This window comes from Homo sapiens, chromosome 3 (genome assembly GCF_000001405.40).
Source record: "Homo sapiens chromosome 3, GRCh38.p14 Primary Assembly".
Taxonomy (NCBI): domain Eukaryota; kingdom Metazoa; phylum Chordata; class Mammalia; order Primates; family Hominidae; genus Homo; species Homo sapiens.
The window spans coordinates 138,213,459-138,233,402 of NC_000003.12; the positions used below are offsets into that span (position 1 = coordinate 138,213,459).

Here is a 19,944-nt window from a genome sequence, read left to right on the forward strand (position 1 = left end):
TCTCTAAAAGAGCAAAATTTCATGTGCATAACTGAATAGATGATCATTAAGTAGGGAGTAAGATACGAGCTGAAAGAAGAGGGAAGTCACTGTGTAGGTCATAAAGCGTAGCCTTCGCAACTACAACAGAAGTAGGTATGTCAGTTAAACTACCCTGCATTGCAAATTCTGAGCTTCCTGTAATATGGAGATCTGCATGTGACTTAAAACATTGCAGGACCTTTTTTGTGAAGTTATTTTAGTATTGGTTCAACCAAGTTAAATCTCATACTTGAAGAAGAAGAAGAACTCTTCATATGATTTTGTAAATCATGAGTGAAAGCTACTTAAACAGTTTTGTTTTGTTTTCTTAACATAACAAAATTAGAGCACTTGATCTGGTTTTCATGTTAGTGAATTTCAATGAAAAGATTAACAGAGGCCAGGCATGGTGACTCATGCCTGTAATCCCAGTACAGTGGAGAGACCAAGGCGGGCGGATCCCTTGAACCCAGGAGTTCCAGCTTGGACAACATGGTGAAACCCATCTCTACAAAAATAAAAATTAGCCAGGCGTGGTGGTACGTGCCTGTAGTCCCCACTACTTGGGAGGCTGAGGTAGAAGGATCCCTTGAGCCCAGGAGGTGGAGGTTGCAGTGAGCCGAGATTATGCCACTGCACTCCAGCCTGCGTCACAGAGTTGTTTTTGTTTTGTTTTGTTTAAAAAAAAAAAAAAAGGTTAGCAGATATCCCTACATGGCCCTTTGTTGATATTGCTATGTTGAAAAGCAAAAGATGATATAAGCCAACGTAGCTAGCTTTGTAGTTTCAGAGTTTAATAGAATTAGAAAGCTTGACTAGACCTCTGGTGAATTCAGTCAGGCACTTGTGGATGCTGCAGAATCATGTGATTTTTTTTTTTTCCCCCACCAAGAATCCACTTCTAAAGTGTCTTCTGAAGCATTTTAATGTACTGATGATATGAGTTTATTTTGGTAATGATTAATTCTCTTAGCTCCAGGAAATTTTGTATCTCTGGTTTCAGTAGAATGTAGACAGGTTCCATTTTCTTGCATGAGCTAAAGATAAAGAGTTCCCATAAAATGAAGCCTTTGGGTTTTGAGAACTTTTAAGTTAAAGGGTTAAGTTTTAGAATAATTGAAAATAAGTATTCCAAAAAAATCATTTAAAAAATTTCTTCTCCTAATACATTTAATCAGTTTTTTTGTTTTGTTTTGAGATGGAGTCTCGCTCTGTCACCCAGGCTGGAGTGCAGCAGCGTGATCTCAACTCACTGCAACCTCTGCTTCCTGGGTTCAAGCAATTCTGCCTCAGCTTCCTGAGTAGCTGGGATTATAGGTGCCTGCCACCATGCACAGCTAATTTTTGTATTTTTAGTAGAGACAAGGTTTTGCCCTGTTAGCCAGGCTGGGCTGTTCTCGAACTCCTGACCTCAAGTGATCCTCCCACCTTGGCCTCTCAAAGTGTTGGGATTACTGTGCCCCGTCTTAATCAGTTATTTTTGAGGGTTATGGGTAAACATACACAAAGGTGACCTTAATACCAAATGTGATAGAGTGATCTGCATCTTACTTATTTAAAACTATATATTCTGAGAGAATTTGGTCAGAGAATTCGATAGGATTATCCAGGAATGATTAAATCAAATTGACATGGTCTTTACTTGCAGACAGATAAGCTGTTTGTATACATATGTCTATGTGATACTAACTTTGAACATCAAGACTATATATTTGCGTGCATATGTGTATATATCTTTTCTTTTCTTTTTTTTTTGAGGTGGAGTCTCACTCTGTTGCCCAGACTGGAGTGCAATGGCGTGGTCTGGGCTCACTGCAACCTCTGCCTCCCGGGTTCAAGTGATTCTCCTGCCTCAGCCTCCCAAGTAGCTGGGACTACAGGCACAAGCCACCATGCCCGGCTAATTTTTTGTATTTTTAGTAGAGACGGGGTTTCACCGTGTTAACCAGGATGGTCTCGATCTCCTGATCTCGTGATCCACCCGCCTCGGCCTCCCAAAGTGCTGGGATTACAAGCATGAGCCACCGTGTCCGGCTAAATTATCTTTTCAAATGTATAAAGCGCTTAACTGCATGCTGCCATATTGTTCCATACTGTTCTAACACATTTTTTATGTTCCTTGGAATGATTAAATATATTTAAAGTGTTAATATCTACCAAAATATTTTGGTAGATTTTACTCTTCATTTTTAGAGAGTGTAAGGTGATTTGTAATCATACATTGATAAAACAGAGTTAAATACATTAAATATCCTAATTTCGGAGCCAGTATTTAATTTTCAAAATTATGTATTCACTTGTCATTAAGGAACCATAAAATGCTATGGAAAGAAAATTAAATATTTACAGTAAACTTTTCATGGTTTATTTATTTATTTATTTATTTATTGTTTTTTTTTGAGACAGAGTCTTGCTCTGTCATCCAGGCTGGAGTGCAGTGATGCAATCTCGGCTCACTGCAACCTCCGCCTCCCAGGTTCAAGCAATTCTCCTGCCTCAGCCTCCCGAGTAGCTGGGATTACAGCTACTGTAATTACAGCTACTGCATGCCACCATGCCCAGCTAATTTTTTTTTTTTTTTTTTTTTTAAGTAGAGATGGGGTTTCATTATGTTGGCCAGGCTGGTCTTGAACTCCTGACCTTGTGATCCGCCCGCCTCGGACTTCCAAAGTGCTGCTTTTCATGGTTTTATACAAATCAGAACTGTATCTGAAACTACATATATTCCAAAAATCCACATCACAGAGTAATTTGTTTATAAGAATGAACTAAATTAAAGTCAATTCTGTTTTTTCAGTTTATACATGTAGTTGATATTCAGTAAATGCCCAAGTTGATTTGAGCTGAATTTTGCTGTAAGTTTTCCAACTGCCTCTTGAATCAAAGCCTTATGTTAAAAATAACTTTAGTTTGAATAGTAGATCATCATTAGCTAATTCTTAAAATTGGCAATTCAATAATGACAGTGGAATTCATTGTCATATAACTTTAGTTGGAATATGAATATACCTCATTCCTTAACCATGCATGATAACAGAAAGGTTATCATACTTGGATGTCTGGATATTACATTCTCCAAAAAATGATAATTACAATTACAGGGACAGAGCATTGTGTATGTTTGTGATTCTCACAGTCCAAATAATGTAAGTTGTTTACCATGTTGCCCTTATTCTAGTTACCCACAGATATGTGTTTTTTTCTTATTTTACAAATGAATGTTTTATAAACAGTGAGTTTTCATAAGTAGATCAAACTTTATACTCAGATTGTAGTTTTCAGTATCCAGTGTAGTTTTTGGCTACTTCATACTAATTAGACCAGAAATACACATAGAGTATTCCAAATATGAAGCAGAAAAGAGCTGCTTCAGGTACGTGAAATACTGGTTCAAAATAAATAGATATATAGTCATGCTCTACACAATGATGTTTCAGTTAAAGACAGTTAAAGTCAGTGACCCTGTAAGAATATAATACTGTATTTTTGTATTTAAATATGTTTAGCTACACATTACCTACCATTGTGTTACAGTTGCCTACATTATTCAGTACAGTAACATGCTGTACATGTTTGCAGCCTACAAGCAATAAACTATACCATATAGTCTAAGTGTGTAGTAGGCTATACCATCTAGTTGGTGTAAGTACACTCTATGATGTTCACACAAGGACAAAGTTGTCTAATGATGCATTTCTCAGAACATATCCCCGTCGTCAAATAATGTGTCCTCGTCGTTAAGCGAAGCATGACTGTAATTGATTTTTTAGCTTGGGTCTCCAGTCTTCAATACTTTTAAAGATAATTTTGTTTTTAGGTGATATTAGGCTTTCAGTTAAAATGTATGCTATTTTTGACCATTTAGAAATAAATATATTCATACTTGATTGACTGAAATGGTTTCTCCAGCAGGTCTAGATCCTTTTTTTTTTTTTTTCTTTTTTCTGTTATTTTAATAGCAACATATAGTGCTTTTTCTCTTGGTTTTCATCACGCTTATAATGCTCTAATTTAGACATATGCTGTGGTAGGCACTGTACATTTTAATATGCAAGCCCTTTTTCTCTGCCACACTAAAAATCTCTTTCAGAGCAAAGAAAGTAAAGTAGAAAGTTTAACCTCTGTGTAAATGTGGGAGCTTATCAAGTCCATTTATTAGCATGCAAATTTAAGATTTTAGCCAGATTTTGGCTGAAAATCTTTCTCAACAAATGCATGTTTGTAACATCTTAATATTGACTTCTTTTCTCCCACTCCCCAAAAGTGGGATATCCCCAAGGCTTACTTATTCTTATCTCACCTCAAAGATAATTCAGTGTGTACAAAGTCAAAAATCAATCCTTGTCTTCTCTCTAAGCTTTCTGTTGTTTCCTGCACCCATGTGCCCAGACATGAAGTAGTCACTCGACATGTCACATATCACATTTTTGTACCTATTAAATCATCTTGTTAACTGCTTCCTCAAAATGACCTTTGTATTAATGATTCCTTTGGCTGCTCCACTAATCAGTTTTGTATAACCAGATACCTAGATGGATTGATTAAGTCCTTCAACAAATATTTATTGAGTGCCTGCCTAGTACCAAGCATTGTGCTAGTATGGGGGTATATAAGGGTGAATAATGTAGTCAGTGCTCTGAAGGGTCCAAAAGTCTAATGAAATAGTCAAATAACTAAAGAGACCATCCATGATAGTTTACCTAATGAATGCTATGTTAAAGATAAGCATAGGGGTCTGGAGATCACAAGGGGGGGCATCAGCCACTTAGTTGTCCCTCTTAACTAATATTATAAGCATTCCATTTCACATTCAGCTTATTTTCCTTAGTCACTGCTTCCTTCATGCCCCTTCTGTGATCAAAAATATGATTGCTCCTTAATCCATCTCCCTTTAGTTTGTCTCATCTCCCTATCACTTTTCTAACTTTATGTTCCATGCCACCCTAAAGCGAACTTGTTTTTCAGTTCAGGCTCCTTGTATTGCCCCAGGAACATGCCATTTTCATTTCCAATATGGTCTTGTATGAACGATTTCTCCTTTTGTCCTCCCATCTGCTTATCCAAGTCCTGACTATTGTCTAAGGTTTATCTTAGTTCTTAACCATTGCCTCAAAACCTTTTAAGCTTATTGAGCATCTACTTTTCTTTACCTTATAAACATTCAGTTTTTAATTTAGTACTGACTTACATTGATAGTGTTATTTTTGCCACTCCACGGATATTGTGAACTCCTCAGACCAGGCATCCCATTGTGTGATACTTTCGTATACTTCATAGAGGCTAGCACAATGCTGAGCTCAAAAACTAGTTGTTGAATTTCAGTAAAAGTAAGTAGAGCATTTTTCCCAACATTAAAAGTTAGTGGGCATGAGATGACATTCTTTTGGTCTACTGGGAAAAGGGTATCTGACTAAAAGTTAGAAACACTTTTATTTTGCATAAAAATGTAACATTAAAACACAGAAGGAAAAAGAAAATGAATTCACTGAATTCATTTGTCTTTTCCATTGGTTCGTTGTCAATGTCTGATGTCCTGGCCATAATGGAAAAAACAGTTGGCATAAAAGACATGGGTTGAGACTGGCTCTGTCATTTAATATTGGGTTCTGAAAAAAGGCCAATCCTGAGTTGTAGCTTTCTCTCTGTAAAATGGAGTTAATATTACTCTAGATTATGATGAAGATGAAATTAAGTAGTGGATATGGAATGCTTTGTAAATTTGAAAGTAATGTAGAAATCTTGGATAGTGTTGTTGTGTTCCCATCTTGGATGATAGCTGTGAGTTTGCATTTTACAAAAATAATGGATATCTAGAATCACTATAAATAATGATCTACTGACAGTAACTGCTTTGATATTTCCAGGTCAGATTGGCTTTCTTGCCTCTCAGGAGGAGATAGACTTTTACTCTAACAAAGTGATGACCTGGGGGTTTCAGGGCATGCTTCCTGAGGAAGTGACATTCAGACCTGAAGGATGAGTAAAGCTAGTCAGGGGAAAGTATGAGGGAGGGGATAAGGAGATGACGGAGAAAGAATAACTACACTCTGGGAACTGAAAGAAGCTTCATCTAGATGGCTGAATGTTGTCATCTGAAATTGATTGCTTAATCCTGTTAATCCTTTTGATTTTAATTCTTCATGGAAGTGATCTATTAACATTCCTTTATAGCAACAATTGAATAGAATTTATTAACATCTTTTTTTCCTTATCTAGCACAGGTATATTTACTTACTAAAGCCAAAGCGAGAATCTTTTTCTTTAGACATTGTTCCATTGTATTGTGTTCTCTTTAGTTGGCATTTCCTCTGTTGCCATCAGTTACCTCCTTCATGTCCTTTTTGTAAACTATTAAGAGAATTAGAAAATTGGTGTTGGACAGGTTTTTGTTTGCTCTTGTCTGTAAAAACATGGCATGGTTTGAGATGTTTGGAATGGGTTCATTTGGTAATGTTAGGGACCGCTCATTTCTGCTTAAGAAGAATGGAGAGGAAAAACTGGGGAAATATTAGGGTTGGGAGTTCTGGAATAGAAAGCATTCAGAATGGCACTTAGCCTACACAGACTCTAAGTAGGTAGGGGCTGGATAAATGAATGTTCTACATTAGTATAGGCAGAACACATTAAGAGAAAGGAAGACAATGAAAGTGAACAACAAGCTGGTAGGTTAAGGTCCATATGCTGATGATTAGGAACTAAAGCCTCTAAAGAAAACAGGCATCCATGAGGATGCGGGAGCTTAGAAATCTCTTACTAACTTTAACTTTGCTAATTGATCCTTTGATATCATATAGTTTTATATTCATGTATCAGAACTTGCTAACAACCTCAGTAAACTTCATTCAGTTCAGTCCCATAAACAACAACAAAAAAATTGCTACTTATTTCTTGTAAACCATATAGAAGATCTGAGGGATACTTTACAGAGGGATAGGTCAGGCCTGGAAAAAAAGCCCTACCCTCAGGCACTGAGCTAATGGAAGAAAGACCAGGCATTCTCAGTATTTGGCTTGACTTGTAAAAATGCCATTCAGAAACTTGTAGGGAAAATCTGCTTTTAGCACATCACTAGTTGTTGCAGTATTTTTCTGCAATAATCAAAAAAGGCAATTGAAGACAAGGGTTAATCGTTACCAGGTTCTTTAATGCCAGTAAATATGATTGGTGTTAGAAATGTATGCTGACTATAACATTTATTTGTTGATTTTTTTTTCTTTTTTTTTTTTTTGAGATGGAGTCTCGTTCTGTCACCCTGACTGGGGTGCAGTGGCGCGATCTCTGCTCACTGCAACCTCCACCTCCCCAGCTGAAGTGATCCTCCTACCTTAGCCCCCCAGGTAGCTGGGACCACAAGTGCGTGCCACCACACCTGGCTAATTTTTGTATTATTTGTAGAGATGGAGTTTCGCCATGTTGTTCAGTCTGATCTTGAACTCCTGAGTTCAAGCAATCTGCCTGCCTAGGCCTCCCAAAGAGCTGGGATTACAGGTGTGAGTCACCGTGCCCGGCCAGGGAAGTTTTTTTAAACATTTTATTAGTAGTACTGGGTTTATTTTGAGCTATTTATTTTTTCTCTACATTTCCTTTTGAACCAACCACAAATTTGTGAGCCAAGTGATCAGTGGTAGAGGTTCTCTTATTGTGGAATAGAGTTTTGCTCCTGGTGAAGTATAGAGCTCTGTATAGCTAGAATAAAAAATACTGTGAATATCTGAGAAATGTAAAAGATTCTTTGTTATTTTTTAAATCGCCTTAAGAGATAACTGGCTGCTTAAGCAAAAATAGTAACAATGTATTATGTTGTTTCTAAGCAATTTAAAAATATTGTATAACAGCAGCCCAAAAAATGAATGGGAAAGTGGAAATACATATGCAAGGCTCTTAAAATACATGTGCAATGGGCTAATATCACTTGAAGACTGACTGTGATAAATTAAAAGATGCATTGGAAAATAACAAAGGAGTACAGTTAGTAAGACAATAAAGCAGATAAAATGGAATTGTAAGAAATAATATATAAAGAAGTAAAAAAAAAAGTGAACAAAGTGTGATCATTGAAACAAGGAGTTAATGTTCTGTGGGCTGTTTTTTCTGTTGTTGTTGTTGTTCGTTTAACTCACTCCCTACTCTTAGAGCTGAGCGTGAGGGTGGCCTGTATTCCTTTGTATCCAAAGTATTGGTAGGTACCCTTTCTAGAAGAACTCAATTCTGTACTGGAAGTCTTTCGCCAGTACTCAGGATATCTCTCACTTTCTACAATACGCCGTTTTACAGCCCCCACATTCACTCTGCACCTATCTCTATCCCTTCATTAGTACTTTAGGTGAAAAAAGGTTAGTGCTTTTACTTTGTCAAATCTAAGATATTGCATAATGAAGTAGAATGATCTTTGATTTTTCTTCAGTGCTGTCTCAACATACTTTATTTTTTCTTCCCCTTAATTCAGAGACATGAAAAATGCTGTAATTGGAAACAACAAGCAGAAAGCCAATCTCATTGTTTTAGGAGCTGTTCCAAGGTATGTTTGCTGTCTCACCCCTTTCTTGCCATTCATACTAGTTTCTAATGTATTTCTTACTCTCAATTATAGAACCCATTTTTCCTGTATTGTCTGTCTAATTCTTAAAATAAATCCTATTTTTAAAAATAAATGTAAGTATTTAAACTATCTTTAAGGAAAAAAATTATAAAGTAACAGAGAATGTAGTAAGAAGTGAATGTGTTAATACATTTTGGAAACTCAGGAAGACCTTTGACCTGATGACAAAAGGGTTCGTAAAGTACATATGCAATGTACAACAGCCTGATACTTTCTTCTCCATTTCCTTAGAGCCTTGGCAGTTTTTTGTGTGAGTGGGTAATTTATTAGGAGCCTTAAGACCTTTTTGAATTTAAAGGAAAAAAACCCTGCTTGATTTTTAATCCAGTTTCATTTTTTAACTTCTGATTTTTACAACTTGCTGTTTTTTAAGTTAACGTAAGAAGTTTAGGAAGTTTAATTTCTTCTTTTGATGACCTAATAAGCTTCCTTTAGGCAGGCAATGACAGTTACATAACTTCCTCTTTACTTTTGCTCCTCAGAGCTAAGTTTTCTGTGCAATTGCTATTAGCTTTTCATTCAGAATTATTTATTATTTTGTTTTTTTCTCCTTATTTTCTGGTTTTGATACAGAATTAATGGTTTAAGTGTTTTAACTCACCAACCTCAAACATATACTTTAGTAACTATAAAGCTGTCAGCAGCCTTTCTTAGGGGATTTATGTTTGGTATATATAAATAGTGCTTTATGGAGCATGAGGGTCCTGTCTTAGAACATAAGGTAGATGGTTATAAGTGGAGGAAGGTTAGGGTTTGGGGAGTATTTGTTTGGCAAGCTGGGCTGGAGTGGAAATGAGAGGATCTCTTCCTTTTCCAAATGAGAGAGCTGGAGAAAGAAGAAACTACCTTTGCTTGAGGAGCTGCACAAGGGCTCTGAATATTCCCTATAGGCTCGATATCTACAAACTGCACCACTGCTCTGGATTCAGAGCAGTAGCATTTCTAGTTTGAGTTTAAGATCTGGCAGCACATGGCATTTGAGAGTCTTCATATTTTGGAGACCCAGCAGGAAGTGGTAGATGACATGGACTCTGATGACGCTGTTTCTACAGAGACTATCTGTGGACAACTTTCAGATTTACACTTTTTATAAACTCTAAGAATATGATAGTTCTTTTTTTCAAAACCTCTTCTAGATTTTTTTTCCAGATGTTTCTTTAATTAGCAGATGAGATAAACAAATGACCATTGGATTCATATAAACTCAGCCAACCATATTTTTAGTATGTGGACTGCACAGCCTTTTTTGGTCACATTGAGTCTTGTTTAAATTTTTTAGTCTCTTCGTTTATTAAGTTCCTTCTTTTTAGATTGTTGTACTTGCTTCAGCAAGAAACCTCAAGCACAGAGCTGAAAACTGAATGTGCAGTGGTGTTGGGAAGTCTTGCTATGGGTACTGAAAACAATGTCAAGTCTCTACTGGACTGCCATATTATCCCTGCCTTATTGCAAGGTATGTAGGGAAGCCATTTTTGCTCAATTAAGGTTAAGAATCAGTTTGCAGTGCTTTAAATACTGGTTGAAAGGATTAGTCCTAAATCTCATTTCTGTTAATAGGACTACTGTCCCCAGACCTGAAGTTTATTGAAGCTTGCCTCCGATGCCTGCGTACCATCTTCACCAGTCCTGTCACTCCAGAGGAGCTACTGTATACAGTGAGTTTTAGATGTATTTGAGACATTAGTTACATTTCACCAACAGCCTACTCCTAATTTGCTTAGCATCTTCAGACTCATCATAACTGTGTTATGTAAAAAAGTCTCAGTTGGTCATGGTGGCTCACACCAGTAATCCCAGTGCTTTGGGAGGCTGAGGTGGGAGGATTGCTTGAGGCCAGGAGTTCAAGATCAACCAGAGTGACATAACAAGACTCCATCTCTTTTTTTTTTTTTTTTTTTGAGGTGGAGTCTTGCTCTGTCACCCAGGCTAGAGTGCAGTGGCGCGATCTCGGCTCACTGCAACCTTCACCCTGCCAGGTTTAAGCATTTCTCTGCCTCAGCGTCTGGAGTAGCTTGGATTACAGGCGCGTGCCACCACACCCGGCTAATTTTTTGTATTTTTAGGAGAGATAGGGTTTCACCATCTTGGCCAGGCTGGTCTTGAACTCCTGACCTTGTGATCCACCCGCCTCGGCCTCCCAAAGTGCTGGGATTACAGGTGTGAGCCACTGCGCCCGACAACAAGACTCCATCTCTACAAGAAAAAAATAAAAATAAATTAGCCTGGTGCAATGGCTCATGCCTATAGTCCTAGCTCATGAGACTGCAGTGGAAGGATTGCTTGAGCCTAGGAGTTTGAGGTTATACTAAGCTATGATGGTGCCCCTGCACCTCAGCCTAGGTGACAGAATGAGATCCTCTCACTAAAAATAAAAAATGATAAAAGTCTCCGCTGGGTACAGTGGCTCACGCCTGTAATCCTAGCAGTTTGGGAGTTCAAGATGGATATATCACCTGAGGCCAGGAGTTCGAGACCAGCCTGGCCAACACGGTGAAACTCCCATTTCTATTAAAACTACAGAAATTAACCGGGCACGGTGGCACATACCTGCAACACCAGCTACTCGGGAGGCTGAGCCATGAAAATCACTTGAACCCAGGAGGAGACGTTGCAGTGATCTGAGATCACACCACCCTACTCCAGCCTGGGCGACAGGGCAGACTGTCTGCTTTTAGAGACTGTCTCTAAATAAGTACATAAATAAAGTCTCAAAAAGTATTTGAGTTCTTTCTTATTTCCAAATATCAGATGCTCTCAGCTTTGTAAGAAAGTGAAAGATAGTCTCAGACTTTGAGGAATTTACAAGCTATTTTTAAAAAGACCCATTTTTATCTCTCTATATGTAGAACTTAAGTTTATTTTACGCTAGATGAATGATAGGGAGTTCAGCTGACTTTCGGTTGAAATCCAGCAGAGTAGGCTTTGCAGAGAAGCTAGAATTTAATCTGGGTTTTGAATAATGGATAAGACTTAGAGAAGTGGAGAGGAAGGCATGAGGCACCGTGCTCAGCCCAAATTCATTTCTTCTGGCTTTTTTTTTTTTTTTTTTTGGAGACGGTGTCTCTCTCACCGAGGCTGGAGTGCAGTGGAGGAATCTCGGCCCTGCAACCTCCGCCTCCTGAGTTCAAGCAATTCTCCTGCCTCAGCCTCCCGAGCTACTCAGCTGGGCCTACAGGCATGTGCCACCACGCCCAGCTGATTTTTGTGGTTTTAGTAGAGACGGGGTTTCACCATGTTGGCCAGGATGGTCTGGATCTCCTGACCTCATGATCTGCCCGCCTCGGCCTCCCAAAGTGCTGGGATTACAGGCGTGTGAGCCACTGCGCCCGGCCTCTTCTAGCTATTTTTCAATATACAATAGATTATTGTAAATTACAGTCACTTTACATGGGGCTTTCTTACTGACAGTTAGGCCAATATTTTTAAACACTCTTATTCACAGTTCACAGCAAGAAGCATATTTTCCATTGCCTCACTATACATGTCAGTTTGTGTATGTGTGTGTATATATGTGTATGTATGTATGTGTATGTGAAAGAATCCTGAGACAAGTTTCATGACATTGTTCCACAGATGTAATGCCCTCTGGTTTCTATGCTATCATTTTTCATTCTTTAAAAAAATGGTGGTTGTAATTATCTGAGCTAACACAACGAATCATATTGTCAAATTGTACACACAGGAGTCAGAGATCTTATCCAGAATCAGGCTTTATAAATATTTCAAGACTGTAAGTAATCGAGGAATAGGCAAAGCAAGCATGGAGAGGAGACATGTCACATGGCTCCCTAGTCTGTCCTTCCTACATCAGACACATACTCCTCTGGCACTTAATGATACATAAGGTGGTCAGTAGGTGAGATTTATGGGTCACCTCACACAGTAGGGAGCACCTAAATTATGAAACATTTTATTTTCTTTTATTTATTTTTAAGATGGAGTCTTGCTCTGTTGCCCAGCCTGGAGTGCAGTGGCTTGATCTCGACTCACTGCAACCTCCACCTCCCAGGTTTAAGCAATTCTCCTGCCTTAGCCTCCCAAGTAGCTGGGATTACAGGTGTGCACCACCATGACCGGCTAATTTTTTTTGTATTTTTAGTAGAGACAAGGTTTCACCATATTGGCCAGGCTGGTCTCGAACTCCTGACCTCGTGATCCACCCGCCTCGGCCTCCCAAAGTGTTGGGATTACAGGCGTGAGCCACTGCGCCCAGCCTAACATCTTTATTTTATACCTCATGGTTTTGTGTGACATTCTTCAGGGAGTCATGCCTCATAAATCTATAGAGTGTTTACTGTAGTCGTTCTCAGACTTGAAGTTGCACTAGTATTACGTGGAGGGCTTGTTAAACAGGGTTTGCTAGACCCCACCTCCAGTTTATGATCCAGTGAGTCTTGGGTTTTGCATTTCTAACAAATTTGCAGGTAACTCAGATGCTGCTGGTCTCAAAGTACTTTCTTTGAGAACTGCTGGTTTACTATAAACATCCTGCTCAAAGGATCCCATAGAGGGCTTAGTTAATATCAGTTTATTTTCCTGTAGTTCATATTGTAATGTTTGCAAAGAGAGTAAGCCAGTCACCTGTCTTTTTTACCCTGGAAGTTTCTCACCTACCCTCAATCCCATAATAAGGGGAGAAGTTGATCCTGGCCAACTATTTAAACTCCTTCCACCTCACTCTCTAAACTGATTGATGACCTACTAATGGATCCTGGTGCACCATTTGGAAAATTCTGATCTATGCCAGCTGTTTTACATGAGAAAATTGAGACCCCTGGAGGTTAAATTTAGAGTATCTAAATTATGAAAGATTTCAATTTTGTGCCTCAGCTATTTTATGCCTCCGATATTTTATGTCTCAGAGACAGTGGAGAACTTGTGAAGAGTTGAATTGGGGAAGAACTAGTACAGTGTTTCAGTGTAATTAACTGACTTCCATGAGTTGGAGTGTGTAGAGGCCAGCTGTTTAAAAAGCTGTTTGAGCAACTCTGGCAGTAGAATAGAGATGGGGTAGGTAGTCCAGTAAAAAGACAGCAGGATTTCTAGTTTGAAATTGTGTTTATCAGATGGGTGATTTTGGGCAAATTTCATATTTAATAATTGTTATTTGCCTTAATCATCTGTAATCTGCAGATATATAGACACAATTGACAGAAAGGTGCAGATGGGAAGAAATGGGATGGGGGCTGTTGTAACTGAGGGAAAGTGAGGAATGTGAGAACATAGAGAAAAGGAAGGAGGTGGAAATAGCTTTAGGAGCCCAATAGAGGCTTTTTAATCTACCTATTTGCCTTTTCTATCTTAGCTGCTACCTGCTTCACTATCCTTTGCCAGTGAAACCCCATTTCCCCTTCCCCGACTTGACATTTTCCTTTTCTTTCTGTACACTTAGTATCTGACTTTCTTTGAAGTTTTCTAAGTTTTCCATTTTGTTTTTAAACTACTTGTGTAAACACAAAGGGTTATACTAACAAACGGGGAAGAGATTCTACTTGTAGGGAATCAGCAGCCTTCTGTTTTCCTACTTGGCTTTTACATATCTTGGGCATTCTTTTTTTTCCCAAGGAAAATCCCAAATCTTATTCCTCCCAACAAGGGTGTTCTTTTAAGTTTTTTTCTTTGTCCTCTGTTGTCTCTGGTGAGGATCCTCAAAGTATGGTCTGTGGACCAGTGGCATCAGCCTCATTTGGAAGCTGACTCAGGATCCTACCCCAAACCTACAGTATCAGAGTCTGTACATTAAGTACATCTCCTGGGAATTTGCATGCACATTCCTTCTTGAGAAGCATAACTTTTGTGATGTCATTGACTGGGAAGCTTGAGCTAAGTCTCCTTTTTTATCTGTGGTTCCAGCCAAATACCTTTCAACTTTTAACTCCTTCTGCTTTCTTTTGTTGTTTGTTTTTGTTTTTGTTTTTTGAGACAGAGTCTTGCTCTTGTCTGTCATCCAGGCTGGAGTGCAGTGGCGTAATCTCACTGCAACCTCCGCCTCTCCGATTCAAGTGATTCTTGTGTCTCAGCCTCCCAAGTAGCTGGGATTACAGGCATGCGCCATGATGGCTGGCTAATTTTTGTATTTTTGGTAGAGACGGGGTTTCGCCATGTTGGCCAGGCTGGTCCCAAACTCCTTACCTGAGGAGATCTGCCCGCCTTGGCCTCCCAAAGTGCTGGGATTACAGGCATGAGCCACCGCTCCTGGCCTGCATTCTAAATAAAAGGAAATTCTTGGAGAGACTTGCAGCAGAGTGGGTTGATTATTTTCTCTTTTTCTGTGCTTTTACATAGGTTCTTAAGTGTCAGCAATAGGCAGAGAGTGGGCTGTACCTGAGAAGCTGCCAGTCATATAAATTGTCTCGTCTTGTACAGATTGAAAATAGCTAACTACAGTCTTTATGAGAGATTGTTAGTATTTACTGGTGCTTAACATCTCGGAGATCAAAATTTTCAAATTTTATTTTTATACAATAATTCTTCCTTATAAACTATTTACTAGTGCATAACGTACTAGTTACCTCACATTTTGGTTTCAGAACTGATTTCTGTCACTTCTTATTGAAATGATTTTATCATGAGGATGTAGGCAATTTTTGAGAGAGTTATTGAGAATTTCCTGTTCTCATATTTTGCTACCAGGGATGAATATTGAAGCCTCTTTCTTTGTCATTGGCCTAGACAGTTTTCATGGCCTCGTTGCTTTTGTTTTGCACTGTGCCTTAAGGAGACTTGATTGACTGTCATTAAGATAAGAGATTTGACTACCTTCTTGTGGAAATATTTTATATTTTATCAAATGTACTCATGGTGCCTGAGTTTCTTGTTGCTGTGTTCTCCTTCCCTAGGATGCCACAGTGATACCACACCTCATGGCACTGCTTAGCAGGTCCCGCTATACCCAGGAGTACATCTGTCAGATCTTCTCACACTGCTGTAAAGTAAGAACCAGAATAAATGTTATCTATAATGTAAAATCTTATTATGCCTTTAAGAGATGTACCTTCTTTGTGTACCCTCCCAGGGGTAGTCATACATATATAAGTAGACCTGTGTGTGTGCGTGTATATATATATATATATATATATATATATATATATATATATATATATATGTATATGTATATGTATATGTATATATAAAATATATATATATTTAAAACACAAATGACAGCATACCATACATACTGTTCTGCACCTTAACATTTTTCACTTGACATATCTCTAAGGCTATTCCATATCAGTACATAAGGACCTCTCCCTCATTCTTTTTTTTTTTTTTTAACAGTGCATAGTATTTTAGTGTGTAGATTTATTTGTCCAGTCCTCTATTGTGGAGCATTTAGTTTGTTTCCAGTCTTATGCTATTACAAAACAGTGCTGCAAAAAATACCTTGTATATGAGGCATTTTATAAGAAATAAAATTTTGGGGTCAAAGAATATATGTATTTGTAATTTTACCACATTTTTAAATAAAGATTATACCACTTTATACTACCAGCAATGTGTGATCATGACTGTTTCCCCTCACCCTTGTTCCCTATTACTGGAAACTGGTTTAAGTGATCTCATATAAGGAGAAAGGAGAGAGATTCTTCTCATTGTTGAGTAAAGTTTCTCTTTCTTTTCTATGAAGTGCCATTTAGTTTGCTTTGTAGATTATATGTTGAATGTATCATTTTTGATAACCATGGGTGATTACTTGAGATCTTTCTTAATTTCTACACATTTTCTAACTTCTAACCAAATAATTATCTTCTGATGATATTGTATCATTTATAATACATCCTATCATTTATAATACAAGTCACAAGTAAGGAGCTTTGGGAACTATAGGAAAGAAGGGATAAGAGAACACCTGGAAGACACAGGTCTATGCTGTTTTAGAACAGCCTTCCAAATAAATGAAACCTAAATCACCCAGTTTTAGGAAGAGTTTCTACATTGTAATTTAGACATCTAAACCCCCTTCCAAACAAACCCTAGCTGATTATCACAATCTATTCAGTACTATTTAAGATTTTTGTGAAAAAGTTTTGAAGTTTCTCTTCTTGGATTACGTTGACAAAGTGTGGGCCAACTCATAGGAGCAGAGATATCAAACAATGCCTTATAATCTTTTGAGGTGGGGAAAGAAAGGCTTTAAGAAAATGACAGTTTTGTTGCAACTCACTTGCTTAAAATGAGCTGAATCCATCAAGGGCTAGAATTTCCCAACAACAAAATGACGTCTTATAGCCAGCCTGGCAAGTTGAGGAAGATGCTCCAGAACTGTATGCCTCATTAAAAATTTTTCAGGGGCTGGGTGCAGTGGCTCACACCTGTAATCTCAGCACTTTGAGAGGCCGAGGCAGGTGGTTCTCTTGAGCCCAGGAGTTTGAGACCAGTCTGGGCAACATGGCGAAACCCCATCTCTACAAAAAATACAAAAGAATTAGCCAGGCATGGTGGCGTGTGCCTGTAGTCCCAGCTACCCCAGAGACTGAGGTGGGAAGATCGATTGAGCACAGGTGGTTGAGGCTGCAGTGAACCAGTCATTGCACCACTGTACTTCAGCCTGAGTCACAGAACGAGACCCTGTCTCAAAAAAATAAATAAATAAAATTCTATTACTGAGTGTTGAACAGAGCACAGCATCTACTAGTCATAAGCACAGTAATCCCAAAAGGCTACTGAAAATTGGACCTGGAGGAATAACTACATGTTAAATTATTTTAAGCTATGAGAAGTTTGAATAATTCCATTCCTGAAGTTACCTAAATAGCTTTCAGGATTACTCATCAGAAACTCTTCAACATAGGGATTGCTCATCTGAAACTTCTCAATGCTGTTTTAGCTGAAATTATAGAGTACCATTAAATCACTATTTTTTTGCTGGAGAGAAACTTAAACTGAGGATAATAATTTAACAGCCAGCCTCATACCACTGACAGAATGGAAGATGTTATCAGAGAAAGTCACCTTTACTCACCTTTTAATTGGATAAGTTAGCATTTGCCACTACAATTAAATAACCACATTTAAATATTCTGAGACATAGCTAGGCTTCAAGAAACAGTATAGCATTTATAAATCCAGTGACGTTAGTAAAAGCCTAAAATACAATATTAACAACTTTACCGATATACTGACAACATGTATCTTTGAGAACAACTGATCCAATGGTCCATGTATTGTCATTAAATATAAAACCCTTTTATTTTCATGTTGTTCTTTTTTTGCATATAAGTAAAAAATAAGATTTATAATAGAATTTTAAGACTCATAGGGACTCACATTAAGCTAAGATTAAATGACAAAACTTAAAATTACTAATTTGCTTTGACTGGTATCAATATTAAATAAATTTACATACTTTGGGGGAGGGAAAAAGGGAGAGCTCACTAAAGCATTTGTGTTGCAATATAATCATAATTATATTTTTGAAATTTTCTGATTTATTGAGCAGAAAACACTCACTAGAAATAGTATTTGTTGAAATTCTAACTTCTAAACTGTTGCTATTTCTTAAGTATTTACTCAGATTTCTGAGCCTATTTTTTGGAGTTTAAGACCATGAGAGCTAGGCCAGGTGTGGTGGCTCATGCCCATAATCTCAGCACTTTGGGAGGCTGAGAGGATCCCTTGAGCGAGAGGATCCCAAGCGAGAGGATCCCTTGAGCTCAGAAGTTCAAGACCAGCCTGGGCAACGTAGTGAGACCCCCCATCTCTGGGGGGGGAAAAAAAAAAGACCATGAGGACTTAGGTGCTTCCCACCCAGTGGATGCTGCCTCACTAACCACCAGGTTCCTGCAGGTTGATTTGGAGAAAGCTGAATGAGAGACCGATAAGTCTCAAATGACAGATCCTCCTCACTAGTTGGTTCAGCCACTAATTCTTTCCTTGCAATTGCTTTTTTTTTTTTTTTTTTTTTTTTTTTGAGATGGAGTCTCGCTCTGTCTTCCAGGCTAGAGTGTAGTGGCGCAATCTCGGCTCCCTGCAACCTCCATCTCCTGGGTCCAAACGATTCTCCTGCCACAGCCTCCCGAGTAGCTGGGATTACAGGTGTGCACCACAATACCTGGCTAATTTTCATATTTTTTTTTAAGTAGAGATGGGGTTTCACCATGTTGGCCAGGCTGGTCTCGAACTCCTGACCTCAAGCCATCTGCCTGCCCCGGCTTCCCAAAGTGCTGGGATTACAGACATGAGCCACTGCGTCTAGCCCCTTACAACTGCTTTTACACAATTTTGTGTACAACCTCAGAGAGGAGGAAGAACTTCTTTTGTAACAAGTATTTGCTGCCATCTTTGAGGCAAAGAATTTGACGGAAAAAAGTAAGGTATCTTGTCAGCACCAGGGAACAATTATATATAGAGAGAATTGCAGTGTGCTTGATCTTTTCCCCATCCATTGTAAATATAACTTAGAAAGAATATGCCATAAATTATTCAGATCTTAGAAAAAAAGTTACAAGCACATGGGTATACACTGAAATGATGTTAGTAAAAGACGGAAAACAATCTAAGTGTCTAACTATAGGGTACTAGTTAAAGTTTAGAACATTCATATAATAGAGTAAGGCCAACAGATAAATGAGAAAACTCTTTTTGTGCTGATATGGATGATCTCTGAGATAAATTGTGAAGGAAGAAAAGGTTTAGAGCAGTGTATATAGTATTCTACCATTTGTATTAAAATGGGGGAAGAATATATTTACGTATCTGCTGTATAAAATGTCTTGAAACATATAATCTATTAGGTCACCTTAAGGCAGGAGAACAGATTGGCTGCAGATAGAGGTGGAAAAACAATGAGGTGCAAGAGGCTGAGGCAGCACCCTGCCTACTTCGCTTTTGCTAAGCTCTGCCAGTGTCTAAACTGGGTTGTCAAAATTGATAAGGAACTTAAAAAGCCTTAGTGTGATGACATAAGCTGAGGCTAATTTTGGCTTATCTTCATGATTTAGTAACTAGGTAAGAAAAAAAGGGTCGAATCCTTACGAGACCCCTGTTTTCTTTGGCTCCCCTACTTCAGTCTTCACCACTGTGTTTATAAGCCAAGGACTCCTTTGTTTCAAATGAGACAAATGCATGTGAAGTGTTTAGAGCAGTGCCTGGCACTGGTATCCAGTATCCAGTAAGTAGTACCTATGCTTATAACTGCAGATGATGCATGGATGAGGTGGGAGGAAAGGGAGCACACTTAAAACCAATGCCCTGAGAATGTCAGTATTTTCAGTTATGACAAAAACAGGTTTGCACCATTCTGGATGGATATGTAACAATAACTATATCACACCATTTTACTCTGGGAATTTATCCTCATAACCTCAGGATCTGTACTGAGATGC

General features: G+C 38.3%; 1 protein-coding gene across 15 annotated transcripts in view, besides 1 other annotated feature; it reads left to right on the plus strand.

Moving 5' to 3' along the window:
• The window catches only part of ARMC8 (armadillo repeat containing 8), a 111,142-nt gene that overhangs the window by 26,211 nt on the left and 64,987 nt on the right, over positions 1–19,944 (plus strand). For 12 of the 15 annotated variants that reach the window (XM_006713565.3, XM_011512632.2, XM_006713566.5 and 9 more), the window contains 4 exons: positions 8,468–8,539; positions 9,931–10,073; positions 10,178–10,275; positions 15,460–15,552. In XM_006713565.3, the coding sequence (XP_006713628.1) occupies positions 8,468–8,539; positions 9,931–10,073; positions 10,178–10,275; positions 15,460–15,552 (406 nt within the window). The remainder of the gene's footprint in view (positions 1–8,467; positions 8,540–9,930; positions 10,074–10,177; positions 10,276–15,459; positions 15,553–19,944) is intronic. The other 3 variants (XM_024453441.2, NM_001267041.2, NM_001282342.2) reach the window with 1 other exon arrangement.
• Positions 5,972–6,041: a silencer, noted in NCBI's record as "silent region_14764". NCBI's record gives its function as "represses an Ori minimal core promoter by ATAC-STARR-seq in GM12878 lymphoblastoid cells {active_cell/tissue: GM12878}" and the evidence as "EXISTENCE:reporter gene assay evidence [ECO:0000049][PMID:35858748]".